Source organism: Homo sapiens, chromosome 4 (genome assembly GCF_000001405.40).
Source record: "Homo sapiens chromosome 4, GRCh38.p14 Primary Assembly".
Classification (NCBI taxonomy): domain Eukaryota; kingdom Metazoa; phylum Chordata; class Mammalia; order Primates; family Hominidae; genus Homo; species Homo sapiens.
The window spans coordinates 183,907,886-183,933,286 of record NC_000004.12 but is presented as its reverse complement, the minus strand read 5'-3'; the positions used below and the strand labels follow the sequence as shown (position 1 = coordinate 183,933,286).

The 25,401-nt window shown below is 42.6% G+C and overlaps 1 protein-coding gene across 3 annotated transcripts in view, besides 2 other annotated features; it reads right to left on the bottom strand.

Annotated features, from left to right (window-relative positions):
* STOX2 (storkhead box 2) overlaps positions 1-25,401 on the bottom strand; it is a 225,509-nt gene that overhangs the window by 90,244 nt on the left and 109,864 nt on the right. The window lies entirely within an intron of this gene.
* Positions 8,414-8,913: an enhancer, noted in NCBI's record as "H3K27ac hESC enhancer chr4:184845527-184846026 (GRCh37/hg19 assembly coordinates)". NCBI's record gives its function as "activates a minimal SCP1, AML or CMV promoter by ChIP-STARR-seq in primed H9 embryonic stem cells {active_cell/tissue: H9 hESC(primed)}" and the evidence as "EXISTENCE:reporter gene assay evidence [ECO:0000049][PMID:30033119]".
* Positions 12,253-12,918: an enhancer, noted in NCBI's record as "NANOG-H3K4me1 hESC enhancer chr4:184841522-184842187 (GRCh37/hg19 assembly coordinates)". NCBI's record gives its function as "activates a minimal SCP1, AML or CMV promoter by ChIP-STARR-seq in primed H9 embryonic stem cells {active_cell/tissue: H9 hESC(primed)}" and the evidence as "EXISTENCE:reporter gene assay evidence [ECO:0000049][PMID:30033119]".

Genomic DNA, 25,401 nt, shown 5'->3' with positions numbered 1-25,401 from the left:
GCTAAATCTGCAGTATTAAAGTAAATCGGTATCACTTAAAATATACTGGGGAAAGGCACGGTATTTGTGTCTGTCCACAAACTCCAATAAATGTTGTACGTGAGCCAGATAATCTGCTTCGGAAATTATCCAGGAGCTTAAAGAGAAATTTTTCTATTGATGCACATTAAAAATGTAAACACTGGCTAATACGAACATTAACTAATAAACCATTCAGAAAGCAATGTCATATTTATATATTTTTCATGGTCATTTAGCATGTGAATCTGCCTCTCGACAACTCCGTATGGATTCTAAGGAAAAATGGAAAAATAGAGGCAAGCTCTGCAGAATAAGTGCCTTATAAATACTAGTTATTTTTGAAGTCGTATTCTGCAAGAGGCTATAAATATTGTTCAGATGAGGAGGAGCTGTCATGTAGGACATTTCTTTAGTTCTAAAGCTGCAGAAACACCCACATCTTCCACAGTTCTGACAGGGAGTTGGGAGACAACGTTGTTGTAGGAAGTCGGGTTCCCCATTTCCTAGCCAAACTTCAGCTGCTTCAACAGAGCAGCCATGCTACTTTTCACAAGGCTCAGAACAGTTCATATTCAAGGCTGACATGAGCCCTTAAGTGAGTCACAGCAAGTCTAGGTGCTCAAGATCTTCACAGGGATTAAAAGCCCTAAATAACAACATTGGTATGGGCAGGCTGATGTTGAGGTTAACACAGAAAGGAAAAAAATGCCTGCCAAACATTTCTACTGTATAATATATTGTATCAATACACCATTAATGTGTATACTGATACATACATATACTGTATGTATACATACATATACTGTATGTATACATACATATACTGTATGTATACATACATATACTGTATGTATACATACATATACTGTATGTATACATACATATACTGTATGTATACATACATATACTGTATGTATACATACATATACTGTATGTATACATACATATACTGTATGTATACACTGACACAATTAATATATTGTATCAATATATTGCATCAATACCTGAAACTCAACATATCTAAAATGGAACTCATCAACGTCCCCAACCCCATAGCTGCTCCTCCTCATGCATTTCCATCCAAGCAAATGGCACCTCTCCCTTTCTCAGAAACTGGGTATCACCTTGACTCCTCCTTCCTACTCATCGGCTACATCCTCACAGTCACTGACACCTGTCAGTCAGCTGAGTCTCCAAAGCACTTCTCAGCTCTGCCCACCACTCAGCCTCTCCACCATCATCACCTGCTCCACGCTGTCTCCTTCCCAGGCCTGGATCCCTGAAACAGCCCTTCCCTGGTCTCCATGCCTCCCTTCTTGCCCGCTCCAATCCTTCTCTGCCTTCCACAATGCAAATTTTTATTATATTGCTCTCTAGATTAAACACTCTCTACAGTTTCTCATTTACTGCTTCTTAAGAGCATGCAAATTCCTTACCCTCATGCATAGGGTAACCATACGTTCCCATTTGCCTGGGATGGTTGCAGCTTATGCCTGCTCTTCTCGTGCAATTATTAATAGTGCCCTCTTTCACTGGCCCCAGCATGCCAGTTTATAAGGTCATCCAACCTACAAGGCACTTCCTGACTCACCTTACCCTACAGACTCACATTCACCTTGCGCCACACTACCTTTACGGTATAGTGAACTCCTTTCAGTCCCTTTCTTTCACAATAGTCTGCATAATCTAAGTAAACAGGAGACTTGTGTCTTTCACTGTTCCTAGACACTTCGCAACTAATATATTGCTTGCATATAGACACTAGATATCTCTGAATAAATCAACAGAAGATAATACCAGGAATATGGTAGCTCCACAGTTTTTTTGGTGGGGGGAGGCTGGGGGAAGAAGTCTTACTCTGTCGCCCAGGCTGGAGTACGGTGGCACAATCTTGGCTCACTGCAACCTCCACATTCTGGGTTCAAGCGATTCTCCCGCCTCAGCCACCCAAGTAGCTGAGACTACAGGCGCATGCCACCATACCCAGCTAATTTTTGTATTTTTAGTAAAGACGGGGTTTCACCATGTTGGCCATCCTGGTCTTGAACTCCTGACCTCAGGTGATCTGCCTGCCTCGGCCTCCCAAAGTGCTGGGATTACAGGTGTGAGCCACCGTGCCCAACCAGTAGCTCCATAATTAATATATTATAGTAGATGATAAATGAAGATCTTTTGAGAAATTACAAGGAAAAATTACTCAACAAGCTAGGCTTTGGGTTCAACACAATCATCTTAACAAGAACAAACATGACAGTTTCTAGATGAATATTTTTAAGACTTATTTTGATACTAACAAAGACACTTTCATTGTCCCCCAATAGAAATTTCTATTTTAACCAGTATGGCTTATGCTCAGCCTCTTTGATTTGAAGATATCTGTAGAAACCACATAAGATTCTAGGAATATCATGCAAGAAAAAAAGAAAATTTGTAGATCTAGGTCAGTATTTCAACTGATATTGAAGTTATTCAGAAATACTGAGTTACAGCATCCAAAAAATATGAGCTCTTCCTCCAAAACAGAGGGAAAGAAATATAGCTTCATATTATTCTATTAAGCTTTAGAACAGAATATTGAAGACTAACTTCCTTCTTGAAACAAAAGTTATGGCCAGAGCAATGGCTCACGCCTGTAATCTCAGCACTTTGGGAGGCTGAGGCAGGAGGATGGCTTGAACAAAAGAGTTGGAGACTAGCCTGGGCAATATAATGAGACTCCGTCTCTAGGAAAAATACAAAAAAAAAACAAAAAACAAAAAAAAAAGGGGCATGGTGGCACACACCTGTAGTCCCAGCTACTTGGGAGGCTGAGGCAGGAGGATCACTTGAGCCCAGGAGTGAGGCATGATCGTGCCACTGCACTCCAGACTGGGTGACAGAGTAAGACCCTGTCTCAAACAATAAAAAATAATAACAAAATAAAAATAAAAAACTTAGCTGGGCTTGGTGGCGCACGTCTGTAGTCCCAGCTACTCTGGAGGCTGAGCTGGGAGGATCACTTGAGCTCAAGAGTTTGTGGCTGCAGTGAGCTATGACTGTACCAGTGCACTCCAGCCTGGATGACAGGGTAAGACCCTGTCTTAAAAAAAAAAAAAAAAAGTTGGCCTGGTGCAGTGGCTCACGCCTGTAATCCCAGCACTTTGGGAGGCCGAGGCGGGTGGATCACGAGGTCAGGAGATCGAGACCCATCCTGGCTAATACGGTGAAACTCCATCTCTACTAAAAATACAAAAAATTAGCCAGGCGTGGTGAGGGGCGCCCATAGTCCCAGCTACTCGGGAGGCTGAGGCAGGAGAATGGCGTGAACCCGGGAGGCGGAGCTTGCAGTGAGCCGAGATCGTGCCACTGCACTCCAGCCTGGGCGACAGAGTGAGACTCCGTCTCAAAGAAGAAGAAGAAAAAAGTTATATAGCTAGGATAATTGGTTGTAATATTTTCTTGCTATACAAAATTATTCACAGAGCAGTGAACATAACATCAACAAAACAGCTGTTGTACCTCAGAAATACGTTTAACCGGGAGCTTGTCGATGCTGTGGCCCTTCAGCATACAATACTGCTAAATGGTCCTTTTTTTGGTTTTATGTGGAATGGCAGCGCGAAGTGAGAGTTATGAATCCCCTGCAAGAGCCTCTTTGTTCATTTGGTTTTAATGTTTACAAAAGGCTCAGAAGAACCCAGTGTGATCCATGGCCAGAGATTCAATCACTTTCTCAGTCTCACTTAAGGTGTTTGAAATATACCCAATAATCAATCGGTTATTGTTATAAATTATGTCCCCAAACTCCACTCAGGTATGGCAATGACCCAACATACTACACGTAATGTCATATAAAGAGAAAATGTGTACTACTTCCAAACCTCCAGACCTAGGCCGTTCTTTTCCCTGAATTCCTAACGCGTTTATCTAAATCTTTACTGGATTATTCAAAGGAAGGCCAATACCACCACAAAATCAAAAACAGCATAAAATATCTGATTTAATGATAGCTGTGTACTTGATATTTGGGGCACAGCTCTGAACTCTTTTGGTCTCATCCTGTATGCTGTAGAAAAGAAACCAGCCATGAGCAATGGGAGGCCCCAAGACTTCAGCAAATCTCCATGTTTTTGATCATGACTAGATCTCATGTAATTTTCCCAATAACTAAAAATTTTAAGTTACTGCCTTGTATCTTTAAAGATTATTTGTATTAAAATTAAGACGGCAAGTGAAACATACTCATCTGAGGAATTCTCGAGACGGTTACAGGAGTTACGCTTTCGGGGCTTGTGTTACAAGTATTTCACACTTTATCCAAAGCTTCTTTTCCTTTGAGTAAGAGCTATGACTTTCTCAGACATCGTCATTTTCTCTTATTTCTTATCACCAGCAGCTGTGGTGGGTTGGTGTTCTTTTCAGGACTATTTCCAAAAAGAAACCAAGTTTTTTTGTTGTTTTTTTTTTGTTTGTTTTTTCCTGAGATGGAGTCTCGCTCTGTCGCCAGGCTGGAGAGTGCAGTGGTGTGATCTCGGCTCACTGCAACCTCTGCCTCCTGAGACACTAAGTTGTTAATCCCCTCCTGTCTCAGAACTTTGAGAACAGGCCCGTGGAGATACACCGGGTTGGCAAGAGTGCCAGGCTCGGCCGGCTCACTGGGTTACTGATTCAGGTCCACGCTCACAGGACATGGGATTAAAATTTTTGTGCCTCAGCAAAATTGCAAGTTTGTCCTAGACCTCCATCCTGATCACCCGTTAATAATTGAAATCTCTGATAAATCCTTGAACACCAAGGCTCTCCTCTGTTATTCTCTTCACTGTATTCTCCAGCTGAAAGATACGTTTCTCAAGAATCTTGAAGGGGGCAAAATCCAAGCTCCTGCAGACATTGAAGTAGGCTTTTGTGTTTGTGTGGTTTTTTTGCTGTTTCATTTTGTTTTAAATCCAACAGTTTATTATCTTCTGCACAGAAAGGAGACCATGGGGGCTATAAGCATTTCGTGGGCAGCTCTGGGGAGGTGCAGAGATGAACAGAAGGGTACACCAGATACAAAATGCCCCCCCCCGAGGGCTCCCCATCCTCACCCACGTGAAAGACACAAATGAACTTAAAACAGATGACCTAAACTGAACACCAATCTGTTGGGAAAAAAAGCTGCCACAAAGCCCATAAGCAAACAATGCAAAATGGAACCACTGAAATAATACACCAGGGATCCTTAGCACCTCTGTTCATCTGGAAAGATTCTGCAGTTGTATCCTCTCTGTTGAGTAGCCTGACCATCATGCTGGTCCTATCACAGCCTCTGCAAGACCATCCGACCACAGCAAGGAGGGGCGCAGAGCCAGGTTTGTTTCCCGGCCACTTGGTGGGATGCCTGGGTGCCCTGCTGAGGGGTGTGCTCACTTACCTGCAAGTGGAGAAACAGGGTAAGTCTGTTCTCCTCCTAAGCAAGAAGAGAGAGCAGACTGACAATGGCTCCTCATAGATGTAAAGCCCTGGGTAAGTCCCAGAAAGGGCAAAAGAAGGCAATTGTTAGAATGCCACACCAGCACTCACACACCCTCCTACCTCCTATCAAAAACATCAGTTGGCAACCTCCTGACCATTAAGTCCTAATGGGTCCTTCCAGCTCAGTAATATGTGCACTGAAAAAGTACCACGTCTAGCCTGCAAAGCCAATCTATTTTAAACACACTATTTAAAACAGCTCCTATAGGTCAGGGGAGATTGTAATTACCGGCAATTAAGTCTTTCCCACCTCAAAAAAAAAAAGACCCCAAAAGTTCTCAGAAATAAATGACCCTTTTTTAGAGGCCCAAAGATGCTTCTTGCTAAACTGACACTATAAGCTTATTAATAACAATAACTGTTCACTGTTATGGAGCACATAACATTAAATCAAAGATTGCTGTCCTCAAGGTTTTACATTGATGAAGGCATTTGATCCTCAAACAATCCCATGAAGCAGGTGCTGCTATTGTCCCATTTTACACATGAGACACAGAGGCCAGGCATGGGGGCCAGGCTACACAGCTGGTTCCGTGCAGAGCCTGTGCCCAAACTCAGCCAGCCTGCTCCCACATCCGGGCCTCAAGCCACTATTTGGCGTTGGCTCTGCTTTCAGAAAACCAACTGAAAAGTCTACATGTGTGCAAAGAATCAATAACTGGCTAGAAAAGCAATCAGAGTCAATGAGGAAATAATACTCATCATGATGTGTTGTTTTGATCCTCCCGAACGCTGCCACTTCTGCACCAATAGCATTTTTTCCTTTCTGTTAAGAGTAGGTTAATACTTTACTTTTGCCCAGTTTCCATCTCCTAAACTTTTTACAGATCTGGTTAAAAAACACTATTTGTGGTCGGGCCCGGTGGCTCACGCCTGTAATCTCAGCACTTTGGGAGGCCGAGGCGGGCAGATCACCTGAGGTCAGGAGTTCGAGACCAGCCTGGCCAACATGGCGAAACCCCGTCTCTACTAAAAATACAAAAATTAGCCAGGCATGGTGGCGCGTGCCAAGTCCCAGCTACTTGGGAGGCTGAGCCAGGAGAACTGCTTGAACCCGGGAGGTGGAGGTTTCAGTGAGCCAATATTGTGCCACTACACTCCAGCCTGGGTGACAGAACAAGACTCTGTCTCAAAAAGAAAAAAAAAAAACCCACTTTTGCTTTACTCTAATTATACATTGGAAGATGAAGTACTAAAGGTTCGTCCTAAGAAAAGTTAGCAGATCCAGATTTGAATCCTAGCTCTGCCATTAATTAGCTAGTAATGTTCAACCACAAATTCTTTATCAGTAAACTGATATAATTATAATACCAACCTCAGAGAATTGGGTGTTGTATTAAATGAAAGAATATCACTGGCTCCTATGAGGGCCTCAATAAGTGGAAAACATTATTATCAGGAATTCTAAAATATTCTTTGGGGAAAATGACGTGTTTCTTACTTATTTCTTCTTGGATATTTACTTATTTATCATTTTGAGTGTTTATCTTGAATGCTTTATATTTTTTATGTTTATTATTCCCTTATCTTATTTTCTTAATTTTTAAAATCTGCACTTTTTAATGTATCTTGACTGTTTTATTTCTTTATCTTGAATATTTATTTGTGTATTTTTCCTCTGAATTTTAAAAACACATCTGTTCTCATATAGGTGATGGAAATACAGATTTCTTTTTTAAAACGAAAAAGACTCGTGTCATTAAGGATGCAGAATTACTTGGTTCTCCCATGTAATAAAATTTCATGTTAATTCGAAACCTACCAATTTGGAGTTTGGCGATGATGGGATAGGGCCAGGTTAAAGGTTACCTTTCCTTTGGCTAGGACAAATAACTGCCATAAATAAAAGTTCAGGGCACCATATCAATGATTCAAGAAGAAAAAAAAAACCCTGTTTTCAAATACTAAAAGGAGCAATCTCTTAGTAGAACCATTGATATGCTAATTATAAATAATTTATCCATTCATTAGATAGCTTAAGGACATGAAAGTAATAAGACTGCATTCCATTAAACATTCTATAAAATTTAAATCTTTTACTTATTTAGACAGGTCTTCCTCCCAATTATCCCAAATTAGTGCAATTCTAGTCCTAGTTATATGTATTACATTGTCTAGTGGAACATTATATACACAGAAAGTCATATCTGACAAAAGCTTAATTAGGTGATCAATTTTTCTTGACTAGAGCTTAAGAAGAGCTCAAGTGTCCTTCAGAAATAATTCTTCATGATAATAGACTCCAACTGGAATTATTCTTCAAGCAACTTTGCAAGTGTGCCGGGGGAGGGGCCGGGGAAGGGGGATCATGCCTGTAATCCCAGCACTTTGGGAGGCCAAGGTGGGAGTATCTCTTGAGCCCAGGAGTTCAAGACCAGCCTGGGCAACATAGCAAGACCCCAACTCTACCGAAAAAAAAGTGAGTTTGAAATGACAGTTTGTGATCAAGATTCAAATTTTCACCCGTTGTACCTCTTTCAATTTGGATTCCTTTTCTGAGTATTTAGACTACCATCATTAGAGAACCATTCAGAAGATTAAGGAGTATCACATACCAAACCTGTGCTTTCACCTTCTCATATACCAAACCTCTGTTTCACTAGGAACAAACCCCCAAAGGAGACATCCCATCAGCCCTGGCTTCATTCGAAGATTAAAACACGGGGAGAAAAAGAAACCTCAACTTCCTCATTACTCTAGATCCTTCTACTTGGCAAAGTGTTAAAACCTAGAAAAATCCAAATGTTTGGTACTCCCACTTTTGCACTCAGATTATAGACCGCTACATGTAAAAATCACTCATCATACAAATTAAGGCCACCACAAATTCACGGTATCCGGCCTCAGCAGGCCTCCCTAAGACTCTCTAAGGGAGGTCTACGCATGTACCTTCTGACGCCAGCACAGCTATCTTGACTCTGGTATCTTGCCCATGACCTCTTCCAACTCTTGCAGCCAACTTCCTGCTTCAAGGTAGAGACAGGCACCGCCAGGCATGGAATTCCTCAACATTCTGGCCCTGTCACCCTTGCGAGCCTATCTCTATCCACTGCCGGCCTATCAGTTTCTTCCTCTAGGCCCTACAATCCATTTTCCACCCTGAGCCAGGGCGATCTCCCTCTCATGCAAATCCCAACATGTCACTCCCCTACCTCAAGTCTGTCTGGGACTCATTAAGCTCAGAATAACCCGACAGCTCCTCAGCTCGAAACATAAGGTCCTCCTGGGTCCCAGCCCCTCCTCTCTCTTGCCTTGTCTCTCTCATCTGCTGGCCTCCAGAGAGAGGGCACTGCCTGGGGGACTCCTCCTGTCTCCAGCCTCTCTTGTCCTTTCCTGCTGGGCTGCCTGCCCCTCCAAGGGCAGACACGGGGCTCCTGTGCCTCCTCAGAAGTCCTTTCCCATGTCCTAGTCTCTGTGGGGGTCCAGCCCCCCTTACTCAGCCCCCATCATCACCCTCATCCCACTGTCCCGCAGTGGTTTCCTGTATATCTCCAGCCAACTGTGGGGGCCTTCAAGGCAAGAATGGATCCTGACTCTTTAATAAGACAAGCATACGTGTCAAGGCCCTGACACGAACAGGCAACGCTGGTTTGCTGAAGGTGTGAGGAAGCAGTGAGGATTTGAAGGAAGGAGCTGAGAGGCTGCTGTCCTGGACAGGCAATTCCAAATCAGTGGCTACCAAACCTAACTGTACATCAGAATCACCTCGAGAGCTTTGAAAATATAAAGTTCTGGACCCCATCCCAAGCTACAAATACTTTGGAATGAGGCTAACATGTGTATCTGCTTAAGTTCCCCAGATGATTCTGCAGAAGGAACCAACTCAATGCTGGTCCACAGATGGTGTCTAGGAACCACAGTCTACAGAGTGTTCCTACCTTCCGGAGGGTATATCTAGAACACAAGGACAGAGTCAACTCAATGCTGACCCTGCCGAATGCAGCCTGACAACTCCATGCCACACCCCTCACAGCCCCAGGTAAGGACTCATCTGACACCTCACTTTCTGCAGCTCACCCCTAAAGATATTCTAAGCTCTTCACTACATTTTAAGCAACTTGGGAAGGGCCCATATGGTTACATCCCACAGCACTACCTCATAGCACACACTGCAAACAGGGATAAAACTTAAAGAATCACAAGTGTACTTTGCCTGTGTTTAAATATTTCCCTCGCTTGGAAAAAAATAAGAAAACAGTATTCAAATACAAGCACAAGAAACCAGGAGCACGTTTGTTGGTCTGCTCTGCCTCTGCCTTCCGTGTTGGTTATTAATCAAGTGACAGCGGCCTTCTAAGAAAGACTCCAGCTGATCATGTTTCTCTGTGCAGCAGACAACACAGAGATCACTCCAGTTTTCTTCTAACTTCTCAGAGAAGACAGATCATCCACAGCATGGAGCTATGAGTGTACTTCATAACATACATGACTAAGAACACACATCCATTAGGATGGCTACTATCAAGGAAAAAAACAGAAAATAACAAGTGTTGTCAGGGATGTGGAGAAATTAGAACCCTTGTACACCGTTGGTGGGTATGCAAAATGGTGCAACCACTGTGAAAAACGGTTTGGTGGTTCCTCAAAATAAGTTAAACAGAATTACCATGTGAGCCAGCAATGCTACTTCTGGGTATGTACATAAAGGAACTGAAGCAGGGACTTGCCAGTTCTTTGTACACCTGTGTGCACAGCAGCATTCTTCACAAGAGCAAAATAGTGGGAACTCAAATGTCCATCAACAGGTGAATGAATAAACAAAACATGGTACACGTGGGCAATGGAATACGATTCTGCCTTAACAAGGAAGAAGATTCCAACACACGCTACAACATGGATGAAACTTGATGATATGCTAAGTGAAATAAACCAGTCACAAAAGGACAGATATTTTATGATTCTACTTAGATGAGGTGGGGTAATCAATTTCACAGAGACAGACAGTAGAATGATGGTTGCAGGGGATGAGGGTAGGGAGGACCGAGAGTTAGTGTGTAATAGGTGCAGAGTTTCAGTTCTGCAAGATGAAAACAGTTCCCAGGATACACCCTGATGTTGGCCTCATGACAATGTGAATGTACTTAATACCACTGAACTGTACCCTTAAAAAGTTAAGATGGTAACTTTTGTGCCAGGCACGGTGGCTCACATCTGTAATCCCAGCACTTTGGGAGGCCGAGGTGGGTGGATCACAAGGTCAGGAGTTCAAGACCAGCCTGGCCAAGATGGTGAAACCCCGTCTCTACTAAAAATACAAAAATTAGCCGGGCGTGGTGGGGGGCGCCTGTAATCCCAGCTACTCGGGAGGCTGAGGCAGAGAATTGCTTGAACCCGGGAGGTGGAGGTTGCAGTGAGCCAAGATCACGCCACTGCACTCTAGCCTGGGCGACAGAGCGAGACTCCATCTCAAAAAAAAAAAAAAGTTAAGATGGTAACTTTTGCATTATGTGTTTTTTTTTTACCACAATTTGAAAAAGTAAGTTTAAAAAAATGCATGACTAAGCATGAATCTAAACAGTTAAAATAATATTTGCACCTGAGGAACAAACTATTCATCTTCTCAAAGCACCAGGGAACAGCGAATTTGAGGAAAGTCATCTAGCTCAGATGAATGCAATTTCTATACATTTAATGTGCTGTAAATCGTTAAAACCCTTTGCTCTAAAGAGGTAGTTTACTAATCAAATCTCTCCCAGAATATCATTAGAAAGAGGAAGACAATAAGAAGTTAAGTAGACATGCAAATAATTAAGAAATTCTCATCTTAGGAAACTGAATACAAGTGTTTGACCTTTTTCATTTTACGAGTTTATCGTTTGGTGTATTGATTCTAAAGTTAAAAATACAGAGAAACTATAAATCATATTTTTAGTTAAAAGCTGACAACTTTGTGTTATATTTCTTTAGTATAGTATACAGAGAATTTAAGTGTTAGCTAGTTAGCTAGCCATGAAACGGGAGTAAGAGTTAATAAAAGATATCATTTTTAACTATTATATATTGTTTAAAAGCAATTTTGGTCTTTTAGAAATATATACCGTATTTCATAAAGCTTTGTGACTGTTCTTAAATGTTCTAAAGAGCTGGGGTTTCCTTTATTTGTATTATATTAAATCTTATACATTCCAAGGATTATGTAGGTGCTAGATTTTGCAAGTCCTCCTACTAACAGAACTGAATGAAGCTTATGTTTTCCTATTACCCACATTCACTGGGTTGCCATGGGTTACTGAACCCATCCTCCTGGACCACTGAAATGCTGGAGGAAATTGTAACGGATTTTCTCAGACTGACCCTCCTACAGGGAGTCACAGGACACTTTTTTTTTGTTTTCCCCCAAAAGGAAGATTTGTAATATACATCTAATGTACTCTAAACCAGTTCACTGATCCTTATCAAAGATACAGTTGGTTTACCCAATTTTTAACCATCTATAGTTTTTAATCATATTCAACAAAATTCCTAGTTTATTAATTTCTTTCTTGATTACCTTGAACTTGATTTTATCTTACACCATGCAAACCCATAGAACTTCTTCTTTGCCCCCAGTTCTGTCATTTTGAATTACTGTGCCAGGTACTGTCAAATTGTTCAATTATTTGGATCCTAGCCTACTGCTATCCTCATAGATCCTAGCCTCCTGCTATCCTCAGAATAATGTTCGGTCTAACTCTTACAACAACAGATGGCAGAAATTAGACTGTGCTAAACCGAATGCTTCTTCAGCAATTTTTCATAACTAAAAAAGTCAAGAAAAATACAAGAGAAAATGAGTAAGCAAAAGAAGATGATTTGCAAATGAACGAAATTATGTTTATGTTTGAGACTTCTTTTCATTTGATGTTTCAAATTTTGTTGTCAGGTACCTTTGCACTAAATGCGTTAAGACCTAGGAGTTGTTTGGTCCCAGCTATCTCATCTTCTCCAGGAATCAGGGATGTTCACTACATGATTGGCAGCTCATGATAACACTAAGCCAATTAAGACGACTAAGGAGCTCACAACGGCATTACAATGGCATTTGAAACCCACTCTAAGGTGCTAAAAAGAGGAAGAGGAAGAAATAGCAGCAGGGAAACACTCAGCAAATCCCCCAGCCTGCCCCTTACCAGATCTTAGGAGGCTTTATTGTTCTTTGGGTAAGGCAAGATAATTCTCAGAAGAACCTCAGCTGGCTAAGAAGAGATTATTTTTAAATAACATACCCAAATATTTAGGGTTAGACTTGTTAGAATATGCAAGGAGCCCTAAAATCTGCTCTCTCATTACAGCACAGGCTTCTACAGTGGGGTCCACTTAGAGGAAGTGCAAGATGAACCACTGGGGGAATGAAACAGTATTCAATACTTTACTTAAAAATAAGAAGGCTGGGTCTGGTGACTCACACCTGTAATCCCAGCACTTCGGGAGGCCAAGGCGGGCAGATCACTTGAGGTCAGGAGTTCAAGATCAGCCTGGCCAATATGGTGAAATCATCTCTACTAAAAATACAAAAATTAGCTGGCCGTGGTGGCAGGCCATCCCAGCTACTCAGGAGGCGGAGGCAGGAGAATTGCTTGAACCCAGGAGGCGGAGGTTGCAGTGAGCCGAGATGGTGCCACTGTGCTCCAGCCTGGGTGACAGAGCAAGACCCTGTCTCAAAATAAAAATAAAAATAAATAAAAATAAGAAGTTATTTTACTAACACTGAACATGATTAAAAGTATACCGATGAGTATGTGAAATCTCAGTTTTCTGAAATTTTTTTACATTTGTGTTGCTAAAATATTAATCAGTGGCACCCTTGCAGGATTGCTGTGAGGACTAAACAAGGTGACACTTACACAGGTACCAACACACCAAGTACATGCTCAATAAACAACGGTTTCCACCCAGGTCCAGTGGCTCATGTCCATAATCCCAGCACACTGGGAGGCCAAGGCAGGAGGACTCCTTGACCCCAGGAGTTTGAAACCAGCCTGGGTAACACGGCAAGACCCAGTCTACAAAAAAATTTAAAAATAGCCAGGTATGGTGGTACACAACTCTAATCCCAGCTACTTGGGAGGCCGAGGGGGGAGGATTGCTTGATCCCAGGAGGTAGAGGTTGCAGTGAGCTACGATAGTACCACTGCACTCCAGCCTGGGTGACAAAGTGAGACCATCTTAAAAAACAATCCCAATAACAACAATGGTTTCCTTCCTTAGGTGAAAGGGAGCTGAGGGTAAAGAGGCCCCTTTTCCATACTGACATTTCAGGAGCACACCAGCACTCCACTATCACGTAGGAAGCATGCTCTCAGACTGTGCTTACATCCCAGGCCTGAGCCACTGCCGAGCTTAACAGACACCTCCCGGCGGGGCCTGACTCCACGACTGCGGAACCATAAACCCCACCTCTAGCTGGCCCACGGCCAGTCCCAGCCCAAGCACACTCCACCGCGCTGCCCTGGAGAGGAAGCCTTGCAAGCACATGGCTGCATCTCACGATGGAAACCTCCACTTCTGGCCCTTAGGCCAGGATGGTACACTACTATTCACTACGCCTCTGGCATCCCAAACAAACATTCTGTGTAACTCTCCATGTGTTTAAATCACCCACATCAAGCAGCGTACACCATATGGAAAAACAAGATCTGCATGCTCCAGAAGCTATGCTTTGACTAAAGAAAGCCAATACTTGTGGAATCATAAGTAGAACAGGCTTTCCAAGTTCAATTAGTTGGGCATAACCATAGAAAGCAAGTTACTTCGTACCGTTTTGGTTTTTCTTTAGTTATCTTTCCCTTGATTTGAAGGAAGGGAAAGGATATGTTGCAAATGAATAAGTAACATGGAAACTCGGGGGTAGATGCAGCGAAGGTGGGCAGCTTTGAGCTCCCAGATCCTGGCTGGTGCAGAGGTTCACAGGAGGTGTGTGCAGGAGGGAAAACCCACGCTGCTCCTCCAGCTCAGGCCGTCATCCCGGAGCCCCAGGCCTGGCTGCCAAACCGTCTGCTCGTAGCAGCTGAAATATTAACACATGTGAAGAGTGGACCTCCAATTCTAGCACCCTCCTTTATTTCCTAAGCAACCCAGAGGCCGTGCTGACCTGAGATTCCACTGGGCCCATCACTACTTTTATAAACTCACCGAAGGAGGAACATGCACTTGGTTGGCAGGAGAGAGCCTACTGGCTTTACTTTCAAAACTGGCCTTGAAAGATGTCCCTTCGCTTCACAGCTTTCCCCTCTCAACTGTGCTTCTGCAAGATTGGTTTTTACCACATATGCAAACACATAAACACGCAGCTGAACTCGCAGCTCAGAAGCGGAGTTTTCTCCTTTACCTTCAACTGAAAAGTCAAAATAAGTATCTCAGAGTAAGCTATGTCTGATTATATGGGGCACAATTTCCCTGATTTTAAGTAAAGCCAAGTTCTCCTAGAGTTATATTCCACGGGAACACTGACTACACTGACTGCACGGTGATTCTCTACCATTTTTCCTTAGTTGGAAGTTCAAGGACAAATGAGCCCACTTGGATAAATGAATAATTCTGTGAATTTCCTTAGCAGAGCACATACCAAAATCAGTAAGAAATGGAATACTTGATTTCTGATAAATGAGTACCAAATATCAGGCGAAGAATCCCATTTAAAGCCGCTTTTAACTCTATGTAGCACTAGACAAGTTGCCCGCTGGCTCTCTTCTTCTGCATCCTCAGGTGTAAAACACTTAGAAACCAGTCAATCCTGTATAGTTCTGTTCCAAAAGAAATAACAGTAGCAAAGATGTATTAGGTTCTTACTGTGTGTCAGGCACTATGCTAATTATTTTGATTGCATTTGCTCATTTAATCCACGTTTAACAACTATAAATTAGATACTATTTTATCCTCATCTTAAATATAAGAAAACAGAGGATAGACTGATAACATAGATTGTTAGGATTTCACAGCCAGCAAGTGGGTGCCAGCACCAATGTATGAATGTCTGATTTCACAGCCCTAAATCACAGCGCTGCCTTACCACATAAAGGCATTTGATGAACATAGACAGAAGCCACTCTCACAAATAAGGAAAAATCCACTTGACACTATGGCCATCTTCACTGTTCTGCTCTCTGGGACGTGTTCACTCTCTGGCTAAGCAGTCTTTTTAAAAGCACTGTTAAAAAGTTATCCACATCTGCCCCTTGTCTACATTATAAACAGCCAGTTTGCAAGTGTGGGGAAAATATGTCCAAATACTTCTTTCAGTTATTTGAAAACCAATGGAAATGAAAATCCAAATGAGTTCACTAGGTTAACAGAACGCACATTCCAATCACAAGCTCTAGCATCTAATCTAAATGGAAGTTTTATCTTAGACGTTTGGTGAATTCAGAAGACACTGTTTTATAATTTCACCAAAGATCCATGCCGGAATTCTTAAAAATCCTAAAACCAAAGTTCACATCTCTACAACCCGGTGGTTACAGCTAAACTACCCCAGTTTCCTTCAGTTTGCTCCTTCGGGCCCCTGTGAGTGGGTCACGATTACCGATCCACCACAATCACCCTGGTGGCTTCCTTCCATCAACCCCTGGGGCATCAACCACGCATATGGTTAGAGAAAGATGTGAAATACAGAGTCCACTGAAGCCACTGGGAATGCCAGCAAGACCATGTGTCCCCGTATCTATACATTTAAACTGCTGTGTACCTGCTACACATCTGGCACTCGCTAGACACTGGGAGTACAAAGCCACGTCAGACCCGAGCCACGGCCTGAAAGAGCTTCCAGTCTAGACAGAGGGTCAGACAAGAAAATGGCAGATGTGTCGGTTATTTCAGAGGTGCGCAAGAAGTGCTGCCGGAGCACAGAGAAGGAGCGGCTCGGTCACACTCCATCAGGTTTCCTCAAGGAACTAAGTTCTAAACTCTAGGAGGAAGCAGATAGGAAGTAGAGGGAAGAGGGTGTTATTGGAAAGGGGAAAACAAAAGCGTTCTGGAAAGGTCACCGTAGGAAGACGACACGGTTGCAAAGTAAAACTCAACTGTACTTTTTTGTGTAGCTTCTGTGCAAGTCACTCTTTATATCAATACTTTGAAGTGACAACGATCGAGATCCTGTTGTGATTCTATATATGTGTCTGATGGGATTCTACAGTTTTATACCCATGCTGGCTCTTTTAATATTACGTTGGTGCAAAAGTCATTGCAGTTTTGGCCATTACTTTTAATGACAAAATCAGTCATAGGGATATAATGCTTCCATTGTACCAAGCTTGGTTCTAAGAGCTTTACACATATTAATTCACCCAAAGCCCAAGGGGTAGGTACCATTATTATTCCCATGTTGCAGGTAAGGAAGCCGAGGTCCTGAGAAAATAAGTGATTTCTCCAAGTTTACCTGGCTAGTGATGGTAACATTGAACTATGAAGCCAAGCCATGAGGTCCGCATCTCTGCTCTAAATCACTATGCTACACAGCCTCTCAGGCAAAAGGATAGAGTAAAATACACTGAGCAACTCAAGGATTCCAGGGAGGGCTGGAGACCCAGGCTTGAAACATACAGCCACCACCAAGCACAAACCTACAGCTGGCACCACTAGCAAGGCACATGGGGCACCACCTGCCGGCTGCCACCCCTGGCCCGGGAACGCCATCATGCCACACCACCACGTCCCGGGACTCTGTCTCACAGTCTCCATCATCTTACCTTACTAGCACCAGATTAGAAGTCAGGAAGGGAATATCCACTGGGTGGAACCCAGGTCTCTGGCCCCTGCCCTCCATGTAAGGAAGGCCAGGAAAGTACCTACACAGCAATTTCAGCATCTTCACAGAGAATGCGGGCGCTGCCTGCCACCAAGGCTCAGAGGTGGCGGACTAGTGTCCTGTGGCCGCTGGAACTAGCACCGCACAGTGGGTGGGTTAAAGCAACAGAAATATGTGCCCTCCCAGCTCTGATGCTAGAAGTGGAAACCCCAGGTGTCAGTAGGATTGTTTCCTTCCGGGACCCTGAGGGTGAAGCCCTCCCAGGCCTCTCTCCCGGCCTCCGGTGGTGGCTGTCGGTCCTGGGCCTTCCCTCGTTTGTAAACACATCACTCCCATCTCTGCCTCTCTCGTCACATGGTATTCTCCCCTGTGTCTGTGTCTCTTTTCTTCTTCTTATAAGAACACCAGTCATGTGGATCTAGGGCTCACCCTATTCCAGTACTGCTGCATCTTAACTTGGTTACAGCCACAATGACCTGATTTCCAAATAAGGGCATATTCGCAGGTACCGGGGGTTAGGACTTGAACCTATCTTTTGGGCGGACACATTCGACGCGTAACAATGAGGAATGACACCGACATCGAAAAGAGGTTCAGATACTGGGCAGCCAAAAAGGAAAAAAAAAAAAGACAAATACCCCATGCACCTCAGTCACTCTGGCGGCCTTCGTTTTCTCTAATAACGAGACAATTTCAAAGCAAAAGTTGGATATGCCGAAAGCAGTAAATGGCATATTAGCTCTCTTAGGGGAACCAACCAGACAGGAATCTGTAGGGGTGAGAAGGCAATGTTAATTGCAGAGGATGGCTCCTCCCTCTGAAACTACGGCCATCAGACGGATAAGGCCAGGCAATAGTCCTGCTACCCCGACTGCCCACAGGCATCTGCCAAATCTCTCTCTTTTATCTTCAGAAAAAGAAAACTTGGCCTGGAGGGGCCATCACGGATTAAAGTAGAAAGATAAATGGAGACTTTGACTGTGTGTATGAGTTACCTAAGCCGTAATTTTTCAACGGGATAGGTATATGACAGATGTTTGAAATATACATTATTTACATAGCTGGCCTAGTCTTTTGTGCGGCTACTTGCAGAGCTCTGTTTTCAGACCTGACTATAGACATCAAAAACATATCCCTTCTATCAACAATGCAATGGCTTCTGAATAGATGAGAACACTAATAAAACAAATCCAAGAATTAAAGGGCACTTTACTTTCAGGAACAGGAAAGCGGACAATCTCCAAGCAATCCTAACCTCGAGTTTCCAGGTTTCAGAAACCCAAGGAGGGCTCTGAGTTCATGGAATCCAACTGAACCTCCTTCTGCTGGAAATAAAAATCAGTCACCTGCTCCCCTCCAAGAAGGGGAACAGAAAGCACAGAAAGCCAAGCTATTCTCGTGTTCACAACGAACACTGCCGCACAAATGACCTGCAACTTATACGCCTTTATTGTTCACCTGAAAGCCCTCTGTAGTTGGAATACCAAACCATTAGCCCAAAATGGAACTCATTCTCTGCTCACTTTCTGCAGGTTCCTGGTCATTTACTGCATTCTTCCAACAACAACAAAATCAGTTGCAGCTTTTTAATTTTTATTTTTATTTTTATTTTTGAGACAAGGTCTCCTTCTGTCAACCAGGCTGGAGTGCAGTGGCACAATCTCGGCTCGCTGAGGCCTCAACCTCCCCAGGCTCAGGTGATCCTTCCGCTCAGCCTCCCGAGTAGCTGGGACTACAGGCACATGCCATCAAGTGTGGCTAATTTTTGTATCTTTTGTAGAGACGGGGTTTCGCCATGTTCACCTTTATTTTCTTCCACCTCTTAAACCCAACCACTTACAAAGAACGGCCAGTTCCTTTGTTCTCCCAGATTCTCCCTTTCCTCTTCATAACCCTTTCCACCTTGTCCCATCCCTCCTCCCTTGGCCTACTCAGGTTTTCCACTACATGGTGTGAGTACCGCTCAGGTACATGGGTTCATTCTGGGTAGTACCTAGTTGAATATTTTTTACTGAACTAATTAAATGTCCATTTTACTAGGGATTAGAAAAAATATATAATTATCGAGAGAAACCCATAATTTCATAGGAAATGCAAAATTGTTTCTTTAATTCACTTAAATACAAAAGTAGATCAAGTTAAAGCGAAGTATTAAATAGGTTAGGTGGTATGTGGACATATTTTTAAAATCTTGAGGGTGGTGTGCTAATAATACCTAGCAGTGCTGGGACACACAGTTTTTTTGTTTGTTTTGTTCTCGACCCCTCCACCCCCACACTCCAGACAAAGTCTGGCTCTGTCACCCAGGCTGGAGTGCAGTGAGGCGATCTCAGCTCACTGCAACCTCCACCTCCAGGGTTCAAGAGATTCTCCTGCCTCAGCCTCCCGAGTAGCTGGGATTACAGGCACGCGCCACCATGCCCAGCTAATTTTTGTATTCTTAGTAGAGACGGGGTTTCACCATGTTGTCCAGGCTGGTCTCGAACTCTTGGCTCTGTAATCTGCCCGCCTCGCCCTCCCAAAGTGCTGGGATTATAGGCGCGAACCACCACGCCTGGCCCAGGACACACTGTTCTATGGCCGTCGTCTTACTGCTTGATCACCACATCAACCCCCACACACCTCCCCTCTGGTCTCCCAGCCTCTAGACGTTCACAACATGCATCTATCCTGCAAGCCACGATCTGACACCTCTTTAAAAAGGCTGCTTCCACCATTTCTCTCCCCAAATCACAAATGTGTTACCTACCCCATAAACTCTGAATCCGCCCAAATTTCAAGATCCCACACATTATTTCTGGTTACATCCCAGAGTTACAGTAAGACAAATTTCACACACCCATTTTCATTTCCAGCTTCATGCCTTGGTTTGTACCGCTTCCTCAACCTTCCCCAAATCCTTCTCCTTCTCCATCTCTTCAAATCGACCCACTTCTTCAAGACCCAAGTAAGTCCTCCCTCCAGGCAGCCTTTTCTAAGCAACGTCCTTCTGTTCTCGGAACTCCAGTTTCACTTGCAGCAACCACATCAACCACCCCAACTTGACTCTTGATTGTATCCTATTATTTAGTACTTTCTAATCATCCACTCATAGCTTGTTGGTCCTGTCTACCAATCACAATGGGAGATCTTTTCAAAAGTAGGATCTTAGCATACATACTTATAATTTCTGCAGTTACAAAAAGGTGACTCACATTAGGACTTCGAGACCTCATTCAACTTTCTAAGAAGTCATGTTTTAGTCACTCATCCCATACACATTTACTGTGTGCCGGATACATGCCAAGCTCTGTGGTTGCTGGCAAAATAGAGATGTGAATAAGGCAGGTACTATCAGTGAGGATTTCACCATCCAGACCGGAGACACACATGGGTTGTAAACTCGTGATGTGGCACAATGTGACCGTGTTGCTGTAACACAAGTACAAAACAAACGTCGTGGGAGCGAATCACTCTGGAAAGGATCTGAGAGACGATGCAAGAGAAGGGGGCATAGGAGCTGGTTCTGGAAGGCTAAAGAGGATTCTATCAGACCTGTAAGGATGGAGAACGCATTCTGGGCAAAGTCACATAAACTACAACAGGTACACAAGGTGACAGGCGCTGATGCAGGTAAAGAGCTCCCAGAGCCCAGAGCACAGGGTGAGGTGAACAGTGGGGGAAAGAGAAGAAGAGGTGGAAAAGTGAGGGAGGTTATACTGTGATGTGCCCTGGTCTATGATTTCATCCACAGGCGTGATGGATGGGAACACTGGGAAGGGAAGCAACACAAGTGATTTTGCTTTAGGAGAGATTTTAAAATAACAAAACCAAAACAAAACCATCAAAGCCCTCTGGGGACATAAGGAGGATAGATGGAACCAGAAGAGAGGTCTGTTTGGTAGATAGTGTAATAGAACAGAAGAAGGGTTCAGCAACAGAGATGAAGAGGAAGAGACAGGTTTTAGAAATATTTAAGTGGGAGGAACAAATAGAATCTTCTGACTGACTGGTTGCACACGCCTTCTGATGTTAAAGAAGACTAGCCTTTTCCTACTTCAGGAAAAGTGTACTCCCTACTTAAAAAATTACCCATGTCCTTTCTTTCTTGTGTTACTGTGGATAAGGTCAATTTGGAGTAGACTATATCTATACTCTCACAAACTAGAAGAACCTCTACTTTATACCTTATAGATTAGGCATCACACACTCTATCACTGATTTATAAAAACATGTCCTAAATTCAAAAGTTAGCATAGGACCTACTGGCAAGGGTCCAAGCAGATTTTGCTTTTAGTTATAACCTGCATGCAGCCTAAGCAACCGTGTACCAAAGAGTATACCATTGTCTGAATTGTCCTAATTCTCCGGGGTGTAGGGAATTTCAGGCCAGAATTGCTCTGGAGGTGCAGAAGTGCTAAGGTTTTTATACAATACACTCATATTCCTTTTTTTCAAATAAAAACATTAGAAAGAATGTAAAAGATATTGAAATATCAAGAGAGGTGACCTTTTGTAAGCCCACTCATGTTCTCCTGGGAAATAAAGAATAAAGTCATTCACCACCAAGTGTAATATTCCTCACTTCCACTCGCCTGATGAAAGGAGTCAACATAGGTAGTTTCAAATTAAAACACAGTTGGAGCGGCTAGGCTGAAAATGGATCTCGGCAAAGAGGGAAAGGGACGTGACAGGACGCTCTTTATTAAAACTTGCATATGATTATAACTTGCCAGGTCTTCATTTATTTCTTCCCCCCTCATTACTCTGGTCATCAGGGCGAGTCCTAAAACGCATACCTTTAATGTAACATTTCAGGATGATAGGGAATAGGATTGTATCGCAAAATGAGCACTATTCCCACAAACAGGAGGCACCTGACTCCAAAAAGTAGAAGAGGGCAGAGAAGTTTTGTCTAACAATTTATGTGTAAGTGTTCAGAAGTCTTGCACTTGCTCAAGACAGAGCCACTGCACAGCCCAATTCTGTAATGGCAGCATGGAAGTGGGGGACTCATTACAGATGGAGGGAGGTCATATTACTCGCCAGGGACACAGCTGGTTTGTGGCAGGCCCAGATTGGAACCTCCAGTGTCCATCCTTCACTCCCAGAAAACCCTCATGTCTCTTAAAATAACAGAACATAAGGAACTGGAACACACAGTCAAACGTGCCCCAGAATTAGTTTCTATAAAATGAAAACTAATAAACTAATCAAGGTGATGAGCTGGCCATTCTTCCCCAGCAGACAAAACTGCTTTCAAATTTCTTGCAATGTCAGTTTAGGGCTTTTGTTTTATCTTTCTTTTCAAAGGCTTTAAAACCGTAGTATTAAAAACGCACGCTTTACTCCTTAAAGATGTTATCAAAATGATAAGCATCAAACTCAAATGGGCCAGGACTTCGCTTTCTCATGCAGAAACAAAGCTTTTAAGGATCATGTGCTGTAGAACCTGTATAATGAAAAAATTACTTTCCATGCTTGATCAATAAGGATGTCCCCCAAAACTTTGCTGGCATTATACATGGAATATAAAGAGGCGCCCATCCCCAGGGCTGGGGGAGGGGAGAGGGAAGGAAATTAAAAGTTAGCAGCATCATTCGTGTGAAGAGCTTACAGTTCACATAATTCTAACAGAGAAAGCTCTCACAACTTCATCAACAAAAGGTTTGGGGCCTTGAAAATCATTTCACAGAGACAAATGAGCATGTTTTCATACATAAAGTACTAAGCGTTCATTATACAGATTTGCTCCTTTGTGGGGAGTTTTGCTTTTATCTCTAGTTCATTAATATCGTAACTTCTACTTTTAGAAAATGCCCAAGAATGATCCCACATCCATTTGGTCCAATCCCTTTTCTTCTTAAGATAACGCCATGCACTTTTTATTATTCATCTTGATTTGAACAAAAGGCAAGATCTTCCCCTTTCTGCCCAGAAACCACCACTGGGAAATTAATATTCAAGATGAACAATGAAGTCATCTCATGGCCTGTGAACTTACTGGTTGCTAGGAAGCTCATGAATTCTTAGGATTTCTTCAGATTTGGTAGCATGAGTTGGGAGCTTAAACAGTCACATAAGGCATAGTCTTCGAGACTTAAAGTTTCAGCATTCTCTAACTGTCCTTTTGCAAGAGCTCGCTAGTTTATAGGTGCCCGCTCTAACCTCTTGAGCTTAAGTGTAGTTTATCCTGAAGGTATCGGAAAGGCCAAGGCTAAATGTCAAGCCTATTGCTATAAATCACATTTCACACTGGTAATTACTTATTCGTGGAGAAAAGACTGTTTGAAATGGTGCTGTCTCATTTGCTATTATAGAAGCCTACAATTTTGCTTGAAGCACCTACTGTGTGGTACGGGATGCTAGACCAAAAGGAAAATTATTAATATCTATTTCTTGAAATTCCCAAGGCTCTCTCATGTCCTGAAGTTTAAAACTAAGTGACTGTTTCCCATAATTTTCAGAATATTTGTTGAGGGAGGGGGTCTAAAAATAGTCTCTTAACTGAAGTTATTTTAAGTCATTTAGTACATCTCTGAAAGGCTTATCTTGTCCTTTGAACCCAAGTAATTTCCCCACAACAAAAACCTTTTTTACTAAAAATCAAGTATAAGGATACCAGTAGTAATTAAACCAAATGGCTGAACAAACAGAAAGAAGAAATATGAAAGGCCTCATGTGTTTCTAAGTGGTTTCATTTTCTACTCAATATTTTATGTGACAAAGGCTCTGTTTGTATCCAAAGTCACTAACTTGATAAAAGTGGATCTCCTTTACATTTCCTAAAAGGATGAGAATGTCTTATAAATCATTTCCAAGTGTTTCAGTATATCATCTATTTCTATCAATACTCACATTTTGAAAGGAGCCATATTTGTAAAGGAAATAGATGAAGATACACATCCTTCCCAACCCAACCCCCAAAAGAGTTGCACATGAGAAAGACTCCACCTACTCTCCCAATCTTCATTGTAGGTGTTTGTCATCATGTTTACCATTTCCTTCCATAGCAGCAACACCTGCTTCTTATTCCATGTATTAGCTAACAGTTAAAATAAAGAATAAATGATAAGCCTCCCTCCCTGGGCAAGAACCGTATTATATCCAACCCTATAACCCCATGAGAATCCAGCAAGGCACTTCGCTCTTTGGGGGCACGCCATAAAAATGCTGAATGAATGACAGCACTTTTCTTCCATCTTTTGGTCTTCAGGTTTCTCAGCAGTAACCTAACATTGAATCTGAACAGAAAACCGCCAACCTGAAACAGGTTATCCTTCATTATCACCATAGGACCATCTTACCATTTGTAGATCAAGAAATAAAATAAGGGAATCAAGTACAATTAAAAGCTTCTTCCTCAAGCCCTCAAAAACGCCTCGCAGCACCTGCAATAGCAGACAAGTTCTTTTGCAAAGAATGCAAATGTGATAATGAGGTAATGCCAAGATAGATTAAAAAAAAAAAAAAAAAAAACTGGCTGCCTGGAAATGTGCCTGAATCATGAAACAGAGTGTTGCAGGTTTGTCGATGAAATGATGGCCACCAACCCTCCTATAGCTTCACAGTTGGTGTCAGGACCGGTTCCTTAGGAGGCATAAGAAAGGGGAACTGTGAAGTGTGGAATGAAGACATTCAAACCCTAAGTACATGAAACCCAGGATTATCTGAACACTTAGTGCAGCAATGGGTTTATGTACATATGTGTTTTGAGGTTAGGTTTGCATTTAGGTGTGTTTCAAAATTTACTGCCACAAGTCTGAAGAGTGTAGCAACCACAGCAGCGACTTAAATGACTGAAGTATAAACTGTAGTTGTCACTTTCTTTACGAATTTGGCTTTTCATGAAAGGGAAAATCAAGGGAGCCTTATTGCCAAAATAGTACAACATCCTTATGTCGCCTGACTTTGCAATAAAAAAGATGGTTCTTTTATTTCGGCTTTATGTTCGTGGAAATGCGGTCGCAAGGCATTTTTGAAGCATGAGATGCTGACCCCAGTTAAAAAGGACTTGCTGTTTTAGGAGAAAAAGAGTAAAGCTAGACTGTAAGTACCAACCACAAGCTTAAAATGATCTTCCCAGTTAAGACAGGGCTCAGAGTGATTTGGTACAGTATGTGGTTTAAAATAAAATCTCGGTTCTTCCATTACAGTGTGCTTAGAAGAAAATCTAAATTTTTCTC